This window comes from Homo sapiens, chromosome 7 (assembly GCF_000001405.40).
Source record: "Homo sapiens chromosome 7, GRCh38.p14 Primary Assembly".
Taxonomy (NCBI): domain Eukaryota; kingdom Metazoa; phylum Chordata; class Mammalia; order Primates; family Hominidae; genus Homo; species Homo sapiens.
In genome coordinates this window covers 80,729,930-80,756,584 of record NC_000007.14, presented here as the reverse complement: position 1 = coordinate 80,756,584, position 26,655 = coordinate 80,729,930, and the positions used below count along the sequence as shown (strand labels likewise).

General features: G+C 35.3%; 1 protein-coding gene across 3 annotated transcripts in view, besides 1 other annotated feature; it reads left to right on the top strand.

Annotated features, from left to right (window-relative positions):
- SEMA3C (semaphorin 3C) overlaps positions 1-14,047 on the top strand; it is a 179,852-nt gene extending 165,805 nt beyond the window's left edge. For all 3 annotated transcript variants that reach the window (NM_001350120.2, NM_006379.5, NM_001350121.2), the window contains 3 exons: positions 5,249-5,316; positions 7,557-7,687; positions 11,278-14,047. In NM_001350120.2, the coding sequence (NP_001337049.1) occupies positions 5,249-5,316; positions 7,557-7,687; positions 11,278-11,691 (613 nt within the window). In that variant the 3' untranslated portion in view covers positions 11,692-14,047. The remainder of the gene's footprint in view (positions 1-5,248; positions 5,317-7,556; positions 7,688-11,277) is intronic.
- Positions 2,792-2,961: an enhancer, noted in NCBI's record as "experimental_100118 CRE fragment used in MPRA reporter constructs". NCBI's record gives its function as "activates a minimal promoter by MPRAs in K562 erythroleukemia cells, with activity observed for the non-introgressed 7:80383025 variant allele {active_cell/tissue: K562}" and the evidence as "EXISTENCE:reporter gene assay evidence [ECO:0000049][PMID:34662402]".

The window sequence follows — 26,655 nt, the reverse complement described above, 5'->3', positions numbered from 1 at the left end:
AGTAATTGAAAAGTTTTTATTTAAAGTGAAATGGAAAACAGCTGAGGAGCTGTGACCATGTGAATGATACTGTTTGGCTTTGGTTTCAAAAGATAACTGGTTGGATTTGGCTTGCATTGAAGCCCTGGGGTAGGAAGAGGTTGGAGGCAGAAGGGAAGGGGTGGCAGAAGCTGCATGACAGGAGGCTACTGTCTTCGTCTAGGTGAGATATAATGGTGGCTTGTAGAGGGATAATAAAGGAAGAGGTGGCAAAAAAAAAATGGTCTGATGCTTGACAGCTCACAGAATCTATTGATATATTTGGATGTGGGAGGTTAGAGAAATAGAGGAGTCAAAAATGATCCAAGTTGTCAGAACTGAACATTAGGATTTATGTAGATGTCACTTCCTGAGAAAGAAGAGACTGTGAAAGGAGCAGGTTTGTGAGGAAAAAGAGGATGTTACATGAATGGTATCTATAAGATGTTCACACACGGATATTGAGTAGGCAGTTAGAAATATGAATCTGGAGTAGAGAGGAGTGGCCTGGGCTGGATCACTTGAGAGTCTTAATGGCATGAGATAGGAAGAGAACTCCCACTCTTTAAACCAGGAGTCTCGTAGATGCGTTCCAAGACTGTGTTCCTCCATGTTAATTTGGGCGCTAGTGAGGAGGTCCCTGACTTCTTTTGATGTCTATCTAGAATTTCTAGACATCATTACTCTGTGATCTTTCATCTTAATATGGGGCTGGAGGCCTAAACCTGGACAGTGTGAGGGAGGCAAATTTCAAATGTAATCTCACATAAGTGATTTTTGTGGCCACTGTTGGTATTTTTCAACCATATTTGTTTTTCACTGCCAAATATGATAGTAGTGATATTAGATTAGCATAGCTCTTAGTAAGGTGATACTATTTACTTAGCAAGATGTTCTAAAAATTTGCCTCTCTAACACCTGCAATATAATCTTCAATCTATTAAGCAGATATAGTACTGAAGGAAGCTGAAGCACTATACCTTCCAAGGAAGAAAGGGATATAGGGACTATAAATGGACTTTTACCATAGTTGTATAGGTATACCAGTTATTATATAATGTAAGGAAACTGGACATCAGTACTCCTTCTCAGCAAAGACTTGTTTTGACCAACAAGCATTTTTGTATAACAAATAATATTTCTCAAGTAAAAGTCCATACTGTATATAGACTGTCATTGCATACTAGATATACTTTTTTACATTTTAGAAGTTTATGCTCAATATGGGCTAGCTCATTTGTTTGCATGTTTTCCCACCTATTACAACCCCAGGTATCCTTTCTAAGATGTGTGCTTAAATATACATTGTCATTCTACCACCACAAATTATAATTTTAATCATACTTTTTTAATAAACAAAGAAATGAGTCTATCATGCAGTTCTTTGCATTTACAATATCATGCCTGATATTAAACTATGAATAATGGATAGAGAAGGAAAGTAGTAGCTATTTAAAGAGTTATCTTGGCTAGGTGCAGTGGCTTATGCCTGTAGTCCCAGCACTTTGGGAGGCCGAAGCAGGCAGATCACTTGAGGTCAGGAGTTTAAGACCAGCCTAGCCAACATGGCAAAACCCCATCTCTACTAAAAATACAAAAAAAAAAAAAACAAAAAAAAACAATTCGCCAGGCATGGTGGCAGGCATCTGTAATCCCAGATACTTGGGAGGCTGAGGCAGGAGAATCATTTGAACCCTTGTGGCGGAGATTGCAGTGAGCTGAGATCGCGCCATTGCACTCTAGCCTGGGAGACAGAGTGAGACTCTGTCTAAAACAACAACAACAACAACAACAAACAGCTATCTTGATTATCTCCAGCAGTGCCTTAATTCTGTCATGAAAAGCCTGAAAATGCTACATATATAAAAAATATGCCTGAGCCTACCCGTATTTATCTTTGACTAGCATATTGGAAGTTTCACTAAAAATATCTACGGTATTTACATTCTCCAAATTATGTCCTAACTTAGTTAAGCAAGTATTTATAGTAAATACAAAACATGTTAGTGAATGAATTAACTATTTTGTAAATTCCCATATGAGTTTTTCATTTTCCTTTGAAGATAATGGATTTGGAGTACTTTTCCACATTTATTTTCTTTAGTAGTGTTAATTTACCTAGTTTTGTGCTGATGCCACTCTCTAAGCAAAACACGAAGATCACTTAGAGGATTTCATAGAAATAAAAAGCAAAAAACTATTTTCTTTGTGTACAAACAGAGAAATACAGTTATACTTGGAAATTGGTGGAATCCATACTTTGACATAATGAAGTTGGTAAATATCATTGGCTCAATAGTCTCCGTTTTTAAAAAAAACTATAGTAAACATGCCGGGCGCAGTGGCCCACACCTGTAATCCCAGCACTTTGCGAGGCCGAGGCAGGCGGATTGCCTGAGGTCAGGAGTTGGAGAGCAGCCTGACCAACATGGTGAAACCCCGTCTCTACTAAAAATACAAAATTAGCCGGGCATGGTGGCGCATGCCTGTAATCCCAACTACTCAGGAGGCTGAGGCAGGGGAGTCGCTTGAACCTGGGAGGCGGAGATTGCAGCGAGCCGAGATTGCACCACTGCACTCCAGCCTGGGCAATAAGAGTGAAACTCTGTCTCAAAAAACAAACAAACAAACAAACAAACAAAACTCTAGTAAACAATAAAAGCATTTTTTTCATTTTCACTCTCAAGTCTCTTAAATATTTGTGGATTTGTATCAAATATTGCAGTATAGTCTCTAACAGTATTTGTTCTGGATTCAGACAAGTAGTTAGAAACTTTATTAAGACAAGATAATCAGACCAATTTTCAAATAAATGTCTTTTCTATAAAAAATGATTTCATTGTTTATCCAAAAGAATTTACTGTTGTGGATGAAACATGGGAAACTTGAACCAAATTCCAAGTTCTACATGCAATACAATATTACTCTGCCTACCAGCATGTTTTTTTGATGCTATGTGAGTGCCATGGAGGGAATCTACACATAAAAAATGCTCAGATGGCTGCCTTGCTGATCTCATGATTTAAGCCAAGCCATAACAATGTTTTTTTCTGCATTTCAATGTCTAGAAGCTATGTGATACTGTAAATTGAGATTGCCCAGCTTGAGAGTTTGTATACATGAATAAACCATTACATAGTGTTGATCACAGGACAATAAATTTAGCCATTGTGGATGATATTGCTTGCCTAGATGGCTGAAAACGCTCTCATGATGCTCATATAATATATACTCAGAAGTTGGCTGTAGGAAAATAATGCTGGACTTCAAAATATAGCAAATGTTATGCAGTAAAAACTTGATATGCGAGCTATTCTAGAATACACTACCATATTAATCATATTTCCTGAGATGAAAGTGGCTAACACTTTCACTGTTTTCGTGTGTACAGAAATACACAATCGGTACGGGTCACGTGACTTTGGAAAAGGAATACTTAGGTGGTACAAAATTTTATACCTATTCTACCATAAGTAGATTTCTACAGTCCATTGTGTACATGAAGTAGTGTTTTCTTTAGCTAGAAAATGAGCTTTTTTTCACTATCAATGACTTTGTGATTAATTTTTCTTTGTAAGTTTAATATCTACTGTGTGCTTTTAATATTTCTGTTCTTGCTGAATATTTTATCTTTAAAAGTATGAAGAAAGACTTAGCATTTAACCCAATTAAGTGATATGCTCACTCGAGTATACTTTTCGGTGTTGATAGTAAGCAATCGATTTAGGCTGGTATTCACAATATTTAAAGAGTCACCTTCTGACTTTTAACAATGTGTGATGCTCAGAGGATTGCAGCTGCTCTACGTCGACTTCTTAGACTACATAATACCACTGAAAGTCAGGTACTTAGTGAATCTAAGACTCACGAAATTAAATAATTTGAATACAACTTAGAACTTATTTAAATAATGACCAGTTTGCAAATATTGTATTTTTTTTTTTTTTTTTTTGAGATGGAGTCTCACCCTGTGACCCAGGCTGGAGTGCAGTGGCGTGATCTCAGCTCACCACAACCTCCACCTCCTGGGTTCAAGCGATTCTCCTGCCTCAGCATCCTGAATAGCTGGGACCACCATGCTACCATGCACCACCATGCCCAGCTAATTTTTGTATTTTTAGTAGAGACGGGGTTTTACTGTGTTGGCCAGGCTGATTTCAAACTCCTGACCTCATGATCCGCCCACCTCAGCCTCCCAAAGTGCTGGGATTACAGGCGTGAGCCACCGCACCTGGCCCAATGTAACTAAATTTTTGAAATGCTTAAGCTAATAATACGTAACAACTAAATGCAAAGGATGAAACTTGACTGGAAGCTGGTTAACTTAAATCCATAAGAGATATTTTGGGAACAACTAGAGAAATTTTAATATAGAATATGCATTAGATTATGTTGTTAAATATCAATATATTTAGATAATTATATTGTTATGTTGAAATATTGTCGTTGAAAAACACATGCTAAAGCACTTACGGGTGAAGCATTATTGTATCTGTAACTTATTTTCTAAAGGCTTTCATAGGTGTGGATCCACAGCATATACATGATATATATTTGCATGTGAGAGAGAAAGAAATTAATGTGGCAAAATATAACAATTTGTGAATCTAGGTATACCAGTATTCATTTTACTCATATCTGTACTTTTCTGTAGACTTGAAATTTTCAAAATAAAAAGTTGGGGACAACATGCTTATTCTAGTAAATGAAATTAACTTTTTATTAAATGTCCCTATTTTTATCTCTATTGCTTGTTTCAGAAAAGTTTTAATATATCTAGAAACAGAAAACATTGACTTTTGTAAGAAACAAGTATGTTTATTTAAGACAAGCTATTATAAAAAGGAAAATGCTACGGAGTTTATACTTTGGATGTTATTGTTTTAGAAAATTTAGGCTGAATTTCTCTAAACTAAAAATTTACACTATTAATTAGAGAAGGTAGCATTTACTCAGGATATGCATGCAGCAGGCGATTCATAGCCATTTCATCATGAATGGTAGATGGGAAAACTTACTCAGATTGAAAAGCAAAGATAAGTACCCCCCCTCATTATTGATAAATTGTATAAGAAATGTGAGATAGCTGCATCAATCAGAACTCTTTTTAAAAAATTTTATGAAAGCTTAGCAATAAAAAGGGTGCAAAGTTTAAAATTACAGTGTTTTAAGAGTGGTGTAATTGGCAGTGATAATTCTCAGTCACTTTTATGTATTTCTGCACTTGCAGGAGGAGCCGAAGACAAGATGTGAGACATGGAAACCCACTGACTCAATGCAGAGGATTTAATCTAAAAGGTATTAAAAGTGAGCAATGGCCAATCTCAGTGAACAGTAGCAATGCTCCGTATCACATTTCAGTAAGGGGAAACATTGTCATAGATTCAGGCGTTTCACTTTCAAAAATATTTATTATAACAATTCTGGGTATTTATATAGGGTAATTAAAACTTAAAGGCTTTTTGTATGTATACTGAGAATCGTGTAAAACAAATGTCTGGGAACACGCATACTTCAAGTATGTTAGCTGGTAGGTCTTTCTCGCAGATCGTAATTACAGATTTTCTTAGCTACTATTTTCTTTCTGAAGAAAACCTATTTTCCATTTTAAGATTTACCACTGAAGAACCCTTAGAACAGCATTTTTTTACTGCAGTAAATATACATAACATAAAATTTACTATTTTAACCATTTTAAAGTTTACAGTTCTGTGGCATTAAGCATATTTACATTGTTGTGCAACATACTGCCAGTCACGTCTGGATATTTTTCATCTTCCCCAACTGAAACTAGACCCGTTAAATACCACCTAACCATTACCTCTTCCCTCCAGCCCTTAGAAACCACCATTCTACTTCTTTATGAATTCTTATGAATTCAACTTCTCTAGATACCTCATATAGGTGGAATTATACAATATTTGTCCTTTTGTGACTGGCTTATTTCACTTAGCCTAAAGTCTTCAAGGTCCATTTATATTGTAAAATATATTACAATTTTCTTCATGTTTAAGGATGAATTGTATTTTATCATGTGTGCATATATATAATGTGTGTGTGTGTATGTGTGTGTGTGTGTGTGTGTGTGTGTGTATATATATATATATATATATATATATATATATATATATGTACGTATGTATGTAGGTAAGCCATATTTTGTTTATCCATTCATCCATCACTGGCCACTTGGTTTGCTTCCATCTTTTGGATATAGTGAGAATCCTGCTATGAACATGGGTGTACTATAGTGCCTGTTGACAATCCTGCTTTATGTCCCTCAATTAAACTAATTCCTTCCTTCCCATTCTGACATGAAGTTACCATGTTACAATACTTTTCCTGCCTCAGTCCCACCAAGTAAAAGTATTTCCAAGCAGACCTTCCTTGTGGCTCGTCAAGGTGCTACAGGTGTGCTGTTTCAAAAATTAACAGTGAGACTCCTATTTCTAATCCTTTTGAGTCTGTGCTTTCCTTTAGTAAAAAATGGCATTCTTTTTACTAACTATTCTAACTGCAAAGAGCAAATTAAGACAGATTTTGCTTACTTGTTCCATACATCTAGTTGAGGGAATAAATTCAAGTTACCATTTCTCCATTTGCTATTTTATAAAAGTGTATCAGTTCCCATTAATAGTAGTAGTTGTCATAGTGGTAAGAATAATGGCAGTGGAGGTAACATCAAACAAATATTGATGCTGACTTTGTGTCAGAACCTGAGCTAAGTGCTTTTTTATGATTATTTCACTCAATGCTCAAGAAGCCATACTAGAGTCTTATTATTCCTGCTTTATTAGTGAGGATTCTGTCCATGTCTAAGCTACCACCTGGCAATACTACATGTTTTGCCTAATTTAATACTTTCGTTGAGAAACCTATGTAAAAATGCTATAATCCATGTTTTAGAGAAGAGTAAAACTAAAGCACAGAGACATCAAGTAACTTGTCTGAGGTTACACAGCCAGTAGTAGTAAGGTCAGGATTTTGCCCTACGTTCCTCTGATTCCAAAGACAGTGTTCTCAACCACTACATTCCACCAAGGCCACAATACTTTCTGCCCTTTCCCAGTGCTTACCTATTTCCTCTATATAACATTGAGTATGGACTTTAGGAATGGGATAAACCTGGCTTCGGTATTGCCTGACACATTCACTAAAGTGTATTTCCTCATAACTCACAGCCTCAGTTTGCTCAGCTGTGAAAAGCTGAGAAAATGTGGCCAGGAGTATTGTAATAATTAAGTCAACAAAGTAATATTAAGAACAGTTGTTGGTGTGGAATAATTCTTGAATAAACATGATTTTCTTATCAACATTGCCTTAATTCACAGTCTTTCCTTCCCCTTACACAAACAAAACGGGTGAACAACGTATCCTATTTTGCTTGTTAAATGATTACCACTGTTTTTTGCTGGCTGCGATAGTTGTTCACAATTTTGTATAAAAATAAACATGTATATAGCATTTCTACAGGAGAATGTGCTCTAAATTCAGTTGTGTTCTTTCTTTCTCTCTCGCCTTTTATTTTTGCCTGCTAGCATACAGAAATGCAGCTGAAATTGTCCAGTATGGAGTAAAAAATAACACCACTTTTCTGGAGTGTGCCCCCAAGTCTCCGCAGGCATCTATCAAGTGGCTGTTACAGAAAGACAAAGACAGGAGGAAAGAGGTGAGTAAAGCAGCACAGCAGCAATCCATCAGGGCTTCAGAGAGAACATTAAATCACTGTCCCTCAGCGAGGCTCAGATCAAAGGAAAAAGGAAAGGCATATGATCATCTTTTACGTCTTTGGGATGACAAGTGCCACTTTCCTTAAAATCCTTTGTCCTTAAGAATTGATGGATTAATTAGGAATTCTCTCTGCCTGCTCACCTCTGTAACATGGTGATTGAAACAAGAGCTTGGGTGCTAAGACGGTAGTATTGATGTGAGGAAACGTTCGTAAAAGAAACAAGATGTGTGCAAATCCAGAAGCCAAGTTTTCACACAACGGCACCTTTGTGTGATTCACAAGATAAAAGGAGGCTTTTAAAAAAAAGTTCAGTTTTCCTCAGCAAGAAATTACACTGAACTATAACCTTCATGACAAAGAGCGTTTTTCTGCTGTGTGGTAATCTGTTTCCATTGTTTTATTATTCATAACTCTTGTGCTTTGGTTAGGTAATATATGGAATCATTGTTTATGGGAGCATTGTCTGTATTTAGTGATGTGGAAAAAGTCCTTAGATTTTCAAATAAAAAGACACTTACTGAAACTTTTCGTGGATTAGAAAGAGCTGGGTTTTTTTAAATAAGGGAGACATTGTAAAATGACATAGGGTGATACCTTGTAAATAACTAATTTCATAATATTGATGTCATGTTGTCCTGACAAATGAGAAGATAAAAATATATATGTATATATAAAGCCTTAGGGAAGTCTAAAATGTACCACCATTTGTGCAGCATAAAGTTGATGGAGCCAAGGGGGAAGTGGAGCCTTCCGCATTTATGTGTATTCTTCTGTTGTGGGCAATTTGGTTATTACATATTAAGTTAATTAAGGGTATGTAGACTGAGTACCACCCTAAGCTGTAGAACACAGATACTGCATCAGTGTTACGGAAATAAATGTTGGTTTCATATGGAAAAATACTCTCCGACTCTCAGACTTGTCTACCCAAAGATCTTAGGAGCTGTTTAGGAAATTGTGTGTCCCTCATTACTGGAATATTAAACCATAAGCAGATGACTACTTGCAGGAGGAAACTGAATTATTTGGAGGAAAGATGAGCTAGATGGACATCAGAGCCCCATCATTCTTCTAAAGCCTAAGATGCTAACAATACTTTTAGAAAGATTTTAATAATGAAAATTATTATTTATTTGAGATCTCTTTTCTTTGCTGTAAAATCTGTTATCAAAGAAGTCTTGACATTTCTAGAGTCAAATTAATTTTCAATTATTTTGAATGGATATGGATTATAATAATTACCTTGCAGAGCAAGCTGCATTAGAAGTCATAAGTGATGATGATTACTATATACAAGTGAGTTGTTAGGCCAGGGCAGGAACACAAGGACGTGAACAATCCTTCCAGAAAAAGCCTATATGTATATATGTGAATTGGGTAAGTAATACTTAAACAAGGATCAACTAAAATGTAATTTTCTTTTATTCAGTAGAAAGTTCAATAGAATAATATATAAGTGAATATAACATCTATGATTTAAAATAAATACATATGTTTGAATATCTGCCATATAAATTAATAGTAAAATTTAAAATGGAATGTGTTAAGGATTTATTCTCTCTAATAATATTTCCAAAGTTCTGTTTCAGAATGCTCAAGAATATGGAGACTCAAATATTACTATTTTGACTTTTTTTCCAATCTCAAAAACATAAGAATGTAATAATTTAATAGTGGCATAACATTAGCTCTAACACAAGTATGAAAGTCTGTTTTGTTCAGAATTTAAGCAGAGCACAATTTTACTTATTTTTAAGCTATTAATATTTTACTAAACTTATTCTGATCCTTTCTATTTTAAGAAAACATGCTTCTCACTCATACTACTGTGTAAACATTAATCATTTTTTTAAGTAAGACAAATGATAAAAGCTCACAGAGCAAAGGCAAATAGTTCATACTAAGTAGCATAAAGTGAAAACTGAAAGCCCTCCTCCACTTCAATACTTATTCTCACTTTTAATATCTATTGAATAATACTAATACTTATGGAATAAAACTTACTCAGTTTTTATTCCCACTGCCCAGAGTAAGGTTCCCAAGAGTTATATATTTCTCCAAATATGTTCTATAGTTTTCCTCCCCTCCACACACACACACACACACACACACACACCCCACTTCAATATCAGTACATGTGATTCCAGCTCATATTTCCTGGCTGCATAATATTCCATCGTATGAATATACCTTAAGTGTTTTTTTTCAAAGCCATCTATTTGTTAGGTAATTTCTTGTTTTCCTCTTATCAAAAATACCTGCACACATGTGAGAGTATATAGTCTAAATTCCTAAAATGTAATTGTGCCAAATATTATATACATGTTTAATGGATTTACCATATTGGACTCAAAATATTTTCCCAATTTTGCACAAATAGGATAAAATTTCTTCTTTCTTTAATTTCTGAATGTGTTTATACACAATTTGTTTTTGAGGAACATTTAAACTTAGTAAAATTAATTAATGTCAAAATTTTGTTTTCTTCCTCCAAGTGATTCTCTCTTTTCTAGTTCTGTTCTATTATCTTTTAATACTATACTTGCCTTTTTGTGCTTTTTTTGTGCACAAACCAATTCATCTTTGATTTAGATATTATTAGTAATATCTTGTCCATTTGCACAGAACTTTATCATTTAGGAAAACATTTAACGTGCATTATCTAATTTTGGTTTTGGTCAGATTTATTTTTTCTTCAATGAAAGAGTATTCTAGAGTATACATGTCAAAGAACCTCTTACCACTTAGGTTTTTATCTATTCATTGGCAGTACTACAGGTGGAACTGTGAGGAAGGTTTCAAGCATTTACTGATACCCAGTAAACAATCATTTTTTCCAGTAAAACCTATAAAGTAATTAAATATTAATTCATAGCTTTTTATTACCTTTCCTTGTAAAGTAAAACCACTTAGAGGACTTAAAAGATGATGACATTCCAGCTAATTTTTAGACATTGTTTATTTTGGGATAATTGAAAAAGGCCCTTGATAATGTTCAAAATTCTACCTCTGCTTGTGTATTTTTTATTTAGAAGACCATTCATTTATTGAAACAAAACGATAAAATTCACCCTTTAATTGTGGCTTCATGTTTTCACTGGCGAGTATTTTTTATAAATATAAAAGACTAGAACACCAGGATAGAATAGATATTTTAAAGTATCTATGAGTTTCATTTACAGATATTGACTGTGATTCCAATTTCAAAGGCAACCAAAGTTTTGTGCTTATATATGGAGAAACATCTATCCAGGGGAAAGCACTTTAAGCTATTTTTGCTGATATGGATAATATCTTCACCCTCTATTAGATTCAATACCCCTGTGACTGTGACAAGATCTCCCATGTTTAAAAAAAAAAAGGCAATGGAACTGACCAAAATTTCATGTCCACTGAGAAGGATGCTAAGTAGTGCTCAATACTTTTTTCCCAAATCTGTGAAAGTTGAGACTATTCTGTGTATGTTGGTCATAATCTAAGGAAATATAATGTTCAGTTTCAGTAACTTTAATTTGTCTCTCTTTTAGGTTAAGCTGAATGAACGAATAATAGCCACTTCACAGGGACTCCTGATCCGCTCTGTTCAGGGTTCTGACCAAGGACTTTATCACTGCATTGCTACAGAAAATAGTTTCAAGCAGACCATAGCCAAGATCAACTTCAAAGTTTTAGATTCAGAAATGGTGGCTGTTGTGACGGACAAATGGTCCCCATGGACCTGGGCCAGCTCTGTGAGGGCTTTACCCTTCCACCCGAAGGACATCATGGGGGCATTCAGCCACTCAGAAATGCAGATGATTAACCAATATTGCAAAGACACTCGGCAGCAACATCAGCAGGGAGATGAATCACAGAAAATGAGAGGGGACTATGGCAAGTTAAAGGCCCTCATCAATAGTCGGAAAAGTAGAAACAGGAGGAATCAGTTGCCAGAGTCATAATATTTTCTTATGTGGGTCTTATGCTTCCATTAACAAATGCTCTGTCTTCAATGATCAAATTTTGAGCAAAGAAACTTGTGCTTTACCAAGGGGAATTACTGAAAAAGGTGATTACTCCTGAAGTGAGTTTTACACGAACTGAAATGAGCATGCATTTTCTTGTATGATAGTGACTAGCACTAGACATGTCATGGTCCTCATGGTGCATATAAATATATTTAACTTAACCCAGATTTTATTTATATCTTTATTCACCTTTTCTTCAAAATCGATATGGTGGCTGCAAAACTAGAATTGTTGCATCCCTCAATTGAATGAGGGCCATATCCCTGTGGTATTCCTTTCCTGCTTTGGGGCTTTAGAATTCTAATTGTCAGTGATTTTGTATATGAAAACAAGTTCCAAATCCACAGCTTTTACGTAGTAAAAGTCATAAATGCATATGACAGAATGGCTATCAAAAGAAATAGAAAAGGAAGACAGCATTTAAAGTTGTATAAAAACATGAGTTATTCATAAAGAGAAAATGATGAGTTTTTATGGTTCCAATGAAATATGTTGGGGTTTTTTTAAGATTGTAAAAATAATCAGTTACTGGTATCTGTCACTGACCTTTGTTTCCTTATTCAGGAAGATAAAAATCAGTAACCTACCCCATGAAGATATTTGGTGGGAGTTATATCAGTGAAGCAGTTTGGTTTATATTCTTATGTTATCACCTTCCAAACAAAAGCACTTACTTTTTTTGGAAGTTATTTATTTTAGACTCAAAGAATATAATCTGGCACTACTCAGTTATTACTGTTTGTTCTCTTATTCCCTAGTCTGTGTGGCAAATTAAACAATATAAGAAGGAAAAATTTGAAGTATTAGACTTCTAAATAAGGTGTGAAATCATCAAAAAGAAAAATCAAAGTAGAAACTACTAATTTTTTAAGAGGAATTTATAACAAATATGGCTAGTTTTCAACTTCAGTACTCAAATTCAATGATTCTTCCTTTTATTAAAACCAGTCTCAGATATCATACTGATTTTTAAGTCAACACTATATATTTTATGATCTTTTCAGTGTGATGGCAAGGTGCTTGTTATGTCTAGAAAGTAAGAAAACAATATGAGGAGACATTCTGTCTTTCAAAAGGTAATGGTACATACGTTCACTGGTCTCTAAGTGTAAAAGTAGTAAATTTTGTGATGAATAAAATAATTATCTCCTAATTGTATGTTAGAATAATTTTATTAGAATAATTTCATACTGAAATTATTTTCTCCAAATAAAAATTAGATGGAAAAATGTGAAAAAAATTATTCATGCTCTCATATATATTTTAAAAACACTACTTTTGCTTTTTTATTTACCTTTTAAGACATTTTCATGCTTCCAGGTAAAAACAGATATTGTACCATGTACCTAATCCAAATATCATATAAACATTTTATTTATAGTTAATAATCTATGATGAAGGTAATTAAAGTAGATTATGGCCTTTTTAAGTATTGCAGTCTAAAACTTCAAAAACTAAAATCATTGTCAAAATTAATATGATTATTAATCAGAATATCAGAATATGATTCACTATTTAAACTATGATAAATTATGATAATATATGAGGAGGCCTCGCTATAGCAAAAATAGTTAAAATGCTGACATAACACCAAACTTCATTTTTTAAAAAATCTGTTGTTCCAAATGTGTATAATTTTAAAGTAATTTCTAAAGCAGTTTATTATAATGGTTTGCCTGCTTAAAAGGTATAATTAAACTTCTTTTCTCTTCTACATTGACACACAGAAATGTGTCAATGTAAAGCCAAAACCATCTTCTGTGTTTATGGCCAATCTATTCTCAAAGTTAAAAGTAAAATTGTTTCAGAGTCACAGTTCCCTTTATTTCACATAAGCCCAAACTGATAGACAGTAACGGTGTTTAGTTTTATACTATATTTGTGCTATTTAATTCTTTCTATTTTCACAATTATTAAATTGTGTACACTTTCATTACTTTTAAAAATGTAGAAATTCTTCATGAACATAACTCTGCTGAATGTAAAAGAAAATTTTTTTTCAAAAATGCTGTTAATGTATACTACTGGTGGTTGATTGGTTTTATTTTATGTAGCTTGACAATTCAGTGACTTAATATCTATTCCATTTGTATTGTACATAAAATTTTCTAGAAATACACTTTTTTCCAAAGTGTAAGTTTGTGAATAGATTTTAGCATGATGAAACTGTCATAATGGTGAATGTTCAATCTGTGTAAGAAAACAAACTAAATGTAGTTGTCACACTAAAATTTAATTGGATATTGATGAAATCATTGGCCTGGCAAAATAAAACATGTTGAATTCCCCAGTTATGTTTCTAGCTTTTATTTTTAATGTAGGGTTAACTTACTTGTTAGCATGATAGAATCTACTGAATTCATATCATTTTTAAAGATTCCTTTATCCATTTTTTGTGAAGGTAATGCATCACTATTTCAAAATTTAAATTGTGGAAAAATGCACATATGAAGCTCTCCCAGTACCAATAGCACTTATTTATTTGAGTCCCAACCCAAAAGACATCCAATATTATCTGTTTTCTGTGTATACTTCCAAACAAATACATATTTGTTTTCTCCCTAATATTGTACATCCATTCACATCTATAGATACTTATTCAGAGTATGTTGTGTCTACGTTGGAAGAAATACACAGTTTAGGAATGCATGGTCTTTGGAGTCAGATTGCTTGAATTTGAATCCAAGCTAAGTGTCTTATTCTGGGAAATTTTTACAATTCTCTCTGCCCTCCTTTGCTATACAAGTTCATACCAGTAAAGCATTAGGACAGAACATTTTACGTGGTAAGTATTCAATAAATGTCTTAAAATTGCCTTATTTAGAAGGTATCATTTTGCTAGAACAAGAAGGAATGTTTCAGTTGTGTTCTATGGCAAGTTAAATGCCAATGATCTAGGTGGGGAAACTGCAGTCATTGGGTCAGGTAACACCTTATCATGTAAAATGAGCCTTTAATAAATTAGAGGAAAGAAACCATAAATTAATTCAAAATCCAGTTAACACATTTGAATGGCAGACCTATTACAGCTTTCTGCTACCTCTGGGCTTTCAATGTTTAATAATGTCAGTGAAGAAAAAAGAAACCACAAAAATTAAAAGTTGTCTTAACAGGTCTTCCAACTTAACAATTCTGCACTACTCCCTAATTGCTTCATTATTTCTCAGTATCTCCCTTGCTTATATTTCACCTTAACCTGAGTCTTAAAATATTTGATGTGTTTCTTATAATTTTAATGTACTGCTGATTTATGTCTTAACTAAGTGAAAAATTTTTTAAGAAAATGGTAAGTTTCCTACACATATTCTGCTAGCTAAAGTCAAAAGAAACATTCAGCTTGTTTTGCAGCCTGTTAAAAAGCTTTAGTCTAGACAAAAAAAATAAGCAGACTAAGTAAGAAAAAATGTTTATTTAACCAGAGACATTGAGAATTTTATTGAATTCCATGCGTGATGACAAAGCTGCAGATTACTGTGGAATTTTTTTTTCTTAAGAGTTTATCCTAGTATCCTTTTAGCCAAGCACCTTTTGCACAGGAATGCAGGCCCCTCTGCAAAATTGAAACCACAACACATTCTACTGGCATGCATGCCAATTGGTGAAATTCATTGTCAATAAGTTGTTTTCCTTAAGGGACCTCTGGTATATGTTTTAATTTTTATGGTTTCATAACAGTGTTGCCTTCATAGTACACAGGTATTGAGAGGTGGAAGAACTAGCTCCAAGATTAAAAAAATAACAATAATGCCATCTTCATTCTAGTGACTCTAATGTATTTGTCTATTCACCTCATAAAATACTACTTTCCACATAGTTTAAATTGTGTATTTCTCAGGGCTATTATGTTGCCATGCTTGAGTGTTACTTACATAAAATGCTATTAAAGAATGACATTATAACAAACACATTAAAACTGTTTATGTGAGGTTACCTCTCAACCTCCAAGTACAAAAGCAGTGTGAAGTTCTATTCCTTTAGTGTTTTTTTTTCCTCTGAATTATGCACAGAAAAGAAAGTCACCCAAAGATTTTATGAGATCATACACAAAATTATTTCTGCAAGGCAAAATGAATATATGATAGAATTATGAAAAAGGTCATTCCAATTGTTTCTCTGGATATTTTTCAGTATACATGAGATAAAAGGAATTTCTCACTTTCTTAGGACTTCTCAAAAGAAAAAGAAGTTATATGTTTTAATTTTTCCATTTATTACTGATTCTGGGGATAAATTATAATCATCTTTACCTCTCTGTCAAATCATGAATAGTCAAACAGAGAAATTAGACCTATAAATTACCTTCTTTTGAGCTGATGTGAACTGGAAGTGTTGTAAGCTGTGGTTCTGTATTGACAGTTTGTCTCATGTATAGGAAAAGCAGACCACAGAAAACAATAAAATGAAGGAGATGCTACCCAAGCCACACCAGCCTGGCACATTCAGCGGAATCCCAGTGATGTTTTTATGTACACATATGTATGTGTATGTGTATATACAGATTACATGCCCGCAAATTCACAAACCAGCTATATTCAGTATATACATTATTCCAAAATGAGCCCCAATTTCTGCTTCAGGTTCACATTCCAGCTTCTCTACTTATAAATGATATAAACTGGAAAAGTTATTTAATCCTTCTTGATGAATTGTCACTTTCTCTAAAATTGGAAATAATAATAATGTCTATCCCATGTAGTAGTTGTGTTGTGAGAATAAAATAATATATGTGGAGTTCTTCCAGCATATGCTATTATTTTTCAATCAGGAGAGCAAAACCATTTTTTTCATTTGAGCATTTTTCTCTTTTTCATCAGATTGCATCTACATAGTTCAGTTGATATTTCATGTCATTTATCCATATTGGCATCTATGATAACATCGGTTTTTCTGTTTAACTTTGTCACCAGTTAACAAAGGTCTTCTGCTGTCTCTTGTTCCTAATGAAAGCCTGTTCAGGGCAAGTGAGCTTTCCATTATGTCCAAACACGCTTTAGAGGAATAGGAATTTTTCTGCTATTCCTGCACCATTCTGGGAGACAATTTGAGCCTCTCCGGCCTAAAACCACCAAGATATGTCTGTGTTGTTTGCCCCTCGGAGATCTTGTACCGTCCCAGGACACAAACCCAGAAGTGAGGTAGAAACAGAACCCACAAATCCCTGTATGCTTACCATCCACCTCCACCAACTCACTCTTCATTGCCTTGGTTCTCTGGAGCAAGGATTATCCATTGAACATCACCCATGAGCTTGAGAAGATTTCAACCTTTGTCATTCAAGTACTTCAAAGAGAATTTTGAAAAGTTACGTAGCCACTAAATAATTTTTAAGTTAAAAACTAACTTTCTTATTATATGTGTCAGTAGTTGCAAAGAATATAACTTTCAGTAAAATATCAATTTCAAACTTTTAAAATAACATATCAATTTCAAACTTTTAAAATAACATAGTTATATCTCTTTTTAAATGACAACAATGAAATCAAAATAGTATAGGAATTTGGTACTCAACATATTTTAAAATAATAAAAAAGATCCAATTTTAACAATTTTTTAACAGCCAGAAATTTTATACTATTTCTATTTATTCTTATTCACATTTCTGTTCTACTTGCTTCAAAAATTTTTATCCTGATACAGCAAGTCTTATATTTTAAGGTCTTTTATTGATTACTATCATACATATGTACAACAAAAATATGCATATTTAATTCTTATTTAAGAATGTAGGCCAGGCACAGTGGCTCACTCACTCCTGTACTCCCAGCACTTTGGCAGGCTGAGGCAAGTGGATCACCTGAGGTCAGGAATTCAAGACCAGTCTGGCCAACATGGTGAATCCCCATCTCTACTAAAAATACAAAAATTAGGTAGGCGTGGTGGTGCGTGCCTGTAGTCCCAGCTACTCGGGAGGCTGAGGCAGGAAAATCACTTGAACCTGGGAAGCAGAGGTTGCAGTGAGCCGAGATTGCATCACTGCACTCCAACCTGGGCAAGAGTGAGACTCGTTCTCAAAAAAAAAAAAAAAGAAAAAAGAAAAAAGAAAAAAAAAAGAAATATAACCCTCTAAGTATTAACATTTTTTTTGGAATTAAAATTATAAATCATCACAATTTGACCAAAGGACATAAATATATTCCAAATTTTGAAAATCATTAAAAAGTAAAAATCTTAAATGAAAATATATTTATTTAATAAGATAAATGGAGCTTCTTTCTTTGTCCATTAATTAAATTATTTGTGGATGAAGTTTACTTGAGAGCATGAAACTAAATTCAATGAAAATGCTATTTCTAATTTTTGTAGATATGAAAACAGTAAGCAACTGTACTTACATAATTAAATGGAGATGGGAGTTTCATTATAAAGCTGTTGTCCAAATAAGTATCTTTTGAAGGCTATATCTCACAGCATTATCATCAAATGTTATTTTAATTAATGAGCTGGCAATGTGATTAGTTTCTCTTACAATATTATTCAAAGGAAAGATTTGAAAATCATCATTCTTCTCAATACTTGTACCAATATTTTCATTTGTGCCTTTGTTGGGCTCTCTGGCTCAATGAGGCCATCTCCTTGGTTTTCCCAGGATAATCCTCTGTTTCTTCTATTTATACAGACTCCCAGCAGCCATTTGCTAACTGAGTTATGTTGGGAAAGTTACTTAACTTCTCTGTGCCTGTTGGGGTCCTCATCTGAAAAATTGGGATAATAATATTATTCCCTTCATATGGTGGTTGTGATGATAAAATCACATTCCTGCCACGTGATTAAGATATTATTATTAGTTTAATTGGTGCTATTATTACATGCTTTACAAAGCCCCTTAGCTCATCCAGAAGTTCCAGTGACCATTTGCTATCTTTTTTATTGCTCCTATTTCCTTATCCCCCTGGCACTGGCAGGCAGATGATCTGATAATCATTATCAGGACATGAACCTTGTGGGTCTTACTTGTTTTTGTTTTTTTTTTGTTTTTTTTTTCAAACCAAGATAAGGCTCTTGACTCCTTCCTCAAGCTGAATTCCTTCTCCATCTGCCTAGAAACCTTGAGGTGACTTCTCTGGAGCTTAGACTTATTCATCCTGGATGTCAGCTGTTATCCTCCACATGAGGAGCTTGGCTTTTCCTAAGACTCCTGGATACCCCATACCATAGCCTCCTGTCAGTTCTATCCTGGCCAGTCCTCAGGCATGGTCAAGCATGTCGAAGTCAGTCTGGTAGAGATGCTAACCACTGTGCTATGCACCTCTCATCTGCAGCAGTCATGGCACCACCACAAATTCCACCACCATCCTCCTCATAAAGATAGCCATTTAGTGAGCATTTCTATGTAAACACACACACTATACATAATATCTTCTTTCACAGGATCTTCTGAAGGATATGCTATTAATCTATTTTACAAATGAGGGTTGGAAGCATTTGGAGACTTTGCCTGAGTTTAATAACTTCCTACAGGCCAAAAAATGTGAAAAACAATGAGTCTGGCTACAAATTTTATGCGTCTTCTATACTTCATCATCAAGAGTCCCCCTCAGGAATATCTATTAGGAAAGTCAGATCATTTGGACAGATTCTATATACAGCAGCCTTTGAAATAGGATTTCTAGGACTCTAGGTAGCATCTAGCTCAGGCTGTGAAGTCAGAACACCTTGCTTTAGCTTGCTTTCTTAGTACTTCCTAGTTTTGCACGTCTGAGATCATTATCATAATATCAATCTCATGGGACTACTGTCAAGATTAATTGAGATAATCCATGTAAAGTGCTTAGAACTTACCTGACATAATATGAGTATCAGACAAATGTTGGCTGTTTTTATTACCATGCCTCTGATTTTGGAAATATCATTTATTCATGATTTCATCAAATAGTCATTTAGCATTTCCTATGCACCTGGCAGTATTTCAGTCACTGAGGTCATAGCAGGGAACAAAGTGAAGTCCCTGCTGTTGTAAAGCCTCCTTTCTAGAGGAGAAGAAAATAAAGAAATGAGAAATAAAGATAAAATCCTAAACCCTACAACTGACTAAACAGACGATCTCTTGACAAAGGGGACCCCAGAGTAAACTTGAAAATGAAATTCTCAGTCTTGATGGGATGAGGGTGTTAGGCCCCTCCCTCACTCACTACGATTAGCCTATCTTCCCTAAGGGCTAAACAGGAACCAACCCTTTTAAGTGACTCCACTATTGATATCAACCAACTACCTGATGCTGCCTCTCTTTTGTTTTGCCTGATTAAGAGACCACAGTCATGGAGTGGTTCTGGTGAGTCAACAGAGCTTGCACAGTAAGGGATTTTGTGTCCTCTGCTTCATCTTTGGATGTCAGAGGGTCAAAAATTCCACCCTTACATCACCATTTTATGAACATGGAGATGCAGGAAGCTCAACTGCGCATGTGCACCTTTCTACTTTCAGGTATTCGTGACTCTTTCCATAGCTTATTGAATATGTATATTTGGCCACCTTACTTGGCATAAATTCCTTTTTTTCTATCCAACTTTTATGTATGTTCAAGGGGTACATGTGCAGGTTTGTTAAGTGGCTAAATTGTGCTGTGGAGATTTGGTGTACAGATAATTTTGATACCCAAGTAATCAGCATAGTACCCTATAGGTCGTTTTTCAATCCTCACCCTCATTCCGCCTTCCACTCTCAAATAGACCGCAGTGTCTATTGTTCTCTTATTTGTGTCTATGTCTACTCAATGTTTAGCTCGCACTTATAAGTGAGAACATGATTTGATTTTCTGTTCCCATGTTAATTCACTTAGGATAATGACCTCCAGCTCCATCCATGGAGCCATGATCTCTTTTTATACAGCTGCATTGTATTTCGTGGTGTTATTTAACGCATTTTCTTTATCCAGTCCACCATCGATAAGCATCTAGGTTGATTCTATTTCTTTGCTATTGTGAATAGAGCTGCGATGAACATATAAGTGCATGTGTCTTTTTGGTCGAATGCTTTATTTTCCCTTGGGTATATAACCAGTAAGGGATTGCTGGGTCAAATGGTAGTACTGTTGTAGTTTCTTTGAGAAATCTCCTGTGGGATATGATGAGGTTTCTCTTCAAATAGCCCGATCAATCCTTTATTTTTTTATTCATACTACCCCCCATCCCTTTTCCCTTTTTCTCTTTTTTCTTCCTTTCTGCCTTTGTTACATGCCCAGACGTGCCACAGTACCAGGCGTTATCAGTACCAGCTCACATTCCTTTCCTTATGTGGAAAGAAGACTAGCTCTCTAGCTCATTGGAGACACCCCGTCCCGTTTTCCCCTCTCTCCCTTACGTGCCGACCTTATCTAAAAAAAAGTTCCAATGTTTAGCCAACCGGAATTAGTTTAGATTGTACGGCCCGACCCCGGCCAATGGGGAAAGGGTACAGGGGCAGGACTTGCGTCAGGAATAAAGGCTCTCATGCCCCTTGGTTCAGGGGTGCTCTCATGGCAACTGGCCAAGGAGAAGCACCCCTCTGCGCAGAAGTATAATTGCTGTGCTAAGAATCCTTTGAGTGTTCAATTTCCTTAGGATTTTGAGCGTTATTCCCAACATCTCCAAACTGCTTTCACAAGGAGTGAACTAAGTTACATTTCCACCAACAGTGTATAAGCATTCCCTTTTCTCCATAACCTCCCCAGTATCTGTTGTTTTTTGAATTTTTAATAATGGCCATTCTGACTGGTGTGAGATGGTATCTCATTGTGGATTTGATTAGCATTTCCCTAATGATTAGTGATATTGAGCATTTTTTGTATATCCTTCTTGGCCACATGTATGTCTTCTTTGGAGAAGTGTCTGCTCATGTCCTTTGCCCATTTTTAAATGGTTGTTTGGTATTTGCTTGTTGAATTGTTTGGGTTCCTTATAGATTATGGATATTAGACCTATGTTAGATGCATAGTTTGCAAATATTTTCTCCCATTCTGTAGATGTGTGTTTACAGTGCTGGTAGTTTCTTTTGCTGTGCAGAAGCTCTTTAGTTTAATTAAGTTCCACTTGTCAATTTTTGTTTTTGTTGCAGTTGCTTTTGGAGTCTTCATCATGAAGTCTTGCCTGAGCCAATGTCCAGAATGTTATTTCCTAGATTTTCTCCCAGGATCTTTGTAGTTTTAGGTTTTACACTTAAGTCTTTAATCCATCTTGAGTTGATTTTTGTATATGGTAAAAGGTAAGGGTCCAGTAGCCAGTCTTCTGAAATTAGCTACTTGGTATAAATTCCTGTTCCCTCTGCCCCTCCATGGAAGTATCTGATTCTGGCTTCTGACTGGAGGCTATATTTCCCACCCTTTCAGAATGGACACCCTGCAGGCTGCAACCCTTGGTGAGAAATAAAGTATCCCCTTCTGCTTACCTAAAGTTATAAATTTTGTATTTTTTCTTTAAGTTAACCGAATCAAACAAATAATTATGTAATCGGTTAGGTTCAGGAAAGTGCTATGAAGAAAATTAAAGAAAGGTAAGGGAATCATGCAAAAATTAGGAAACAGAGCATTCCAGACAGAGGGACAAGCCAGTAAAAGGCTCCAGGGTAAAAACAATTCTGGCAGATGTGAGAAAAAGAAAAGAAAAGAAAACATGTGTGGCTGGATATAAGTGAGAAAGCAAAGGATATGGAGGAGATGGGATTCAGAAGGTGGAGAAACCAAGTCCCTTGGCCCCTGATGGCCGTGGTGAGAAGTTCAGATTTGATTCTAAGGGTTATAAAAACTATTGGAGGCCAATGATGTGACACGAGCGATTTTCATTCAACATAACATATTTCTGTCTATATTTTAGAGGCTTTTTGAGAGGAAGAATGGAAATAAAGAAAATAGGAAGATCAACTAGCAGTACGAAACATATTTTTTAAAAGTGTAGACTTTCTTTTAGACTTAAAGTCTAGTAGACTTCAGTATTGACTTTCATTCACACAGAAATATAAGCAATAGCTCCCTCCTGGAGTGCATTTCTGAAATAAGGGGAAGGAGTGTTATAAGGCAGTATTCATCCCCTTACAGCAAGGACGGATTGGGGGAGTAGTGTGGTCCAGAAGGAAAAAAGAACACCAAATGAGGTCAAATAGAAGCTAGAAGAGAGCATTAGAGGTGGTGCTGGAGCTATTATACAATATGCAGAAACTGTCAGAACAAGGGATTTGTTACCCAGTAATGTCCAGAAGAAGAAATAGCATAGGTTTCAATATTGAGAACTAAAACAATCATAGATGAAAATCAAAGAGTGATTAAAGACCCTGCTGCATGGATGCTTTAGATTAAGTCAGGCTGGGTCATAAGGACAGCGACTCTAAACAACTGAGGATGCAAACTGCTTTTATGGATGAGAGTCCACAGTAAATAACCTTACTAAAGATAAATTGCCACATGATTAAGACCAACTATTTGCAAAGACCAGCTGCCTTAATGACTCTATTACTTAATCCTGATTTTATTTATTGCAAAAATGATGGCACTTTTATCCCGCATTTAGAAACAAGCTGTCTAAGTGAATGAGGAAAGCTTAGAGAATGGAGTTTGTGGTAAAATATCCTTTTTCAGAAGAGTGAAATTCACAATTCAGTTTATGTGGGAACTTAGTCTTTAACTGGGGCAATGGGGTCAGCATTAAAGCAGTGATTCCAGAGCTGTTCCAACTCCTCACGATGGAACCCCCTACACCACAGATAACTGCTTTCCTATGCCAGGTAAAATAAGGAAGACTTTTCCTACAAAGGGGATTTCTGAACTCTCCTGAGATGCCTTCATCAAAAGCTGGCATTGAGGCTTTGAAAATGGTGGCACATTGAGTTTCCTTCTTAGGAATGGAGTAAGTATGGATATTTTTGGATAAAAATACTTATGGAAGATGAATTTGATGAAGAGGAAAAACGAGGAAAGGGTTGATTGATGTCTTTACCTCTCCTTAAAGAGTGTTAAACTCCACTGTCGCTACCATAGCCACCACGATGGTGGCTATGGTGGGTGGAGACAAAAATATTTGTAGCCAATGAACAGCAGGGGGCGTGCTTAACGGATTCTGAGATTGTCAGCACTTGTTTTTCATTTTCAATCAGACAAAGAAACCATAAAAGCCCTTTTTGGGCTGCCTTGAAATATTTTCATTAAAAAAAAAAAAAGCACAGGTAGAGTGTAAACTTCATATCTCAATCGCTTTTTTATGCCTTATATCTAGAACAGTGCCAGCCCCCAAACAGGTGCTTAATTGCTTAATAAGCCTGTGTGGAATTGGTTTGGGGCCTTCCCTTTTTGATAGTATATAATGAATCTTTATAGACACTAATATGTAATGAATAGGGCATCATCTGTTAAATAATACAGATTTTAGAAAATGCACACTTATTGCTTTGAATACCTATAGAATTTCCATTAAGTAGAACACTCACTAAAATTTATCAGGCAAGCAAATAAAATTATACCATGTACTCCCATATAAGAAATGAATAACATCATATCTATTCTCCAAAAGGAAGCTAAGGCAAATATAAAATACTTACTAATACAAGATGACACTTCAACAACAGTCAAAAAATTTGGTCTCTATCACAATGGCCACAAGAGAACGTGATGAAAAATCTACCTTGTTCTATTAAGATGCTATTTCAGTCCTATTCATTCATTATCACCTCTATTTCGCACAGTGATATTTGGTAGACATTGCTATGAATTTTACAGATGGGAAAATAAGCTCAGAGTTTCTGCAGCTAGCAAGCAGCTTGTTTAGGACTGAAAAAAACACGTCTGCTTTTTGTCCTATGCCACCTAAGTCGTCAGAACTTTAGAGAATGGAGACTTCAGTGTAGTAATCAGGGGAGGCTTCTGCTCTAGGAGGAGCCTAGAATGGACTGTGTAGTATAGAATTGTGAAAGGTTAATGTGGTAGAAGAAGGACTTTTCTATAGGTTTGGGGGTGGAAACATATGAATAATATCCAAAAAAGAATCCACAGATTGATTCCAAGAGTTGAAGCTTGGGAATAGCAGAGATTGAGGCAGATATATATGCATTTGAATGCAGTAAATAATGAAATAAACACCTGCTATTAGTTTTTGAGATGAGTTGATCAATGTAGATGTCTTGAGAATGTAGATATATTTAAGAAGAAGGAGATGAGAAGCAAGTATTTACTTGATTGATTAGTTGATTGATGCCCTGGCTGCTTCGCAAAGGAATCTGAAGTGAGAAATACAATTAGGGGTCAATGAGGTTAAAGCAGTGGAACCATAATTGTCATAAAATTGATTAATATAATTTCTGCCTTGACATCCATTTTTAGGCCTGACTTAAGTTGTTTGAAATGCAACTGTACCCTGTCACCTTCAGTGTGGTAAAAAAAATCCTCTCCCTGTGTGAGTGCTTACAAATAGCCACTTGTTCCTCATTTTAATCACTGAAAAAAAAAAAAAAAAAAAAAAAAAAAAAACCCAACATACCCGACAGCTGCTGCCCATGATAGAACCCAATGGTTAACACTAGAATCATGTAAATAAGATCCCCCTGTGCAAACATTTGTTTTTAAACTAGCCAATCCACAACCCCCACAGGAAAGCCTAAAGGATTGTGCCCGTGGACCTTACAAACTCACAGTTCCACGGATCCTTTCCCTGGCTCTTTCTCACCCTCTAACTCCTCGCTTGTTGGTTGAGTTCCCTACCACCTCCAGACTTCCGTCAGCTTCCCGTTGGCACCCCTAACCTCCCTGAGACCTGTAAGTAATACATTTCTTATGTTCCATGCATTTGGTTTTACCTTCTCATTCTGTCTTGCCTGACCAACACATTTCAATCTGAGCCTAACTTTTCACTAGTCAGAGCTTTCCTAAAGAGTGGCTATCTTGGTTATGGCCACTTTTAAGAGAGAGGCCTCAAGACCAAGTTAGAAATGAGCTATAACAATAGAAATCACAATAATAAAGAGAGTTTATCTTTTCTTAGTAATTCAGCTGGCATGCTGAGATTAGGCTGTATGTGTTAAAACACATAGAAGCAACTTGATTGATATTTAGATGTTAATTAAACAATTATTGAATGCATTTGAACATTGTCAACATTGTGGTTTGAAGACTTTATAAAAGAATAAGTAAAAATATCATGACAATAAAGCTAACATTAATGGGATGCTTACTAATTGCCAGCAACTGTGATTTTATGGATTACCTTGTTTAAATTTCATGTTCAAACCTAGGAATAGGTATTATTATTATCTGCCTTTTGCAGATGATGAAACTGATGAATAATATTAAGAAATTCAAAATTAATAAAAGAATAGAGTATTCTAAGTTACGACGCTGAAATTATGAAGTGCCATCCATAAATGCTCTGAGATTCAAGTGATCTTCAATGTCAGTGATAATTTTTGGTAGAAAATATTAGCATAACATGTGTAAATGAGGACTTCCAGCATCATCTTCCTATCTATAGATGTTTGCCTTTGCCAATAATATAATTTTGTCATATGATATCCGAGTATTTATTAACTAGCATGATACCACAACAATTGAAATGTCTCAGGACATCACTTTTATCACAAGAAAAATCAGTGGTTAAGACTAGGTTAAAAATACCACCCATGTGTACACACATTCACTATGTCTGTACAGGGTTGAGAAAATCTGACAAATTTAATAAATGTAGGACTTAAGAATTCAAAAAAATGAGGGCAGCATATTGCCAGGATTCTCTGAAACAGCTGGAGCCAGAGAACAAAGTGTCTTAATTAGATAGCTCTTACAGGGCAGAATATTCTGGGGTGAAAGGTGTGAGGACAGGTGGAAAGACCAGGGTGGTCCCAAGAGCTGTCATACACAACCATTTTACCGACAAAACTGAGACACTTAAAGAGGTCACACATTTTGTAACAAAGCCAGGTCAACGTAAGTGACCTAGAGATATGGTTTAT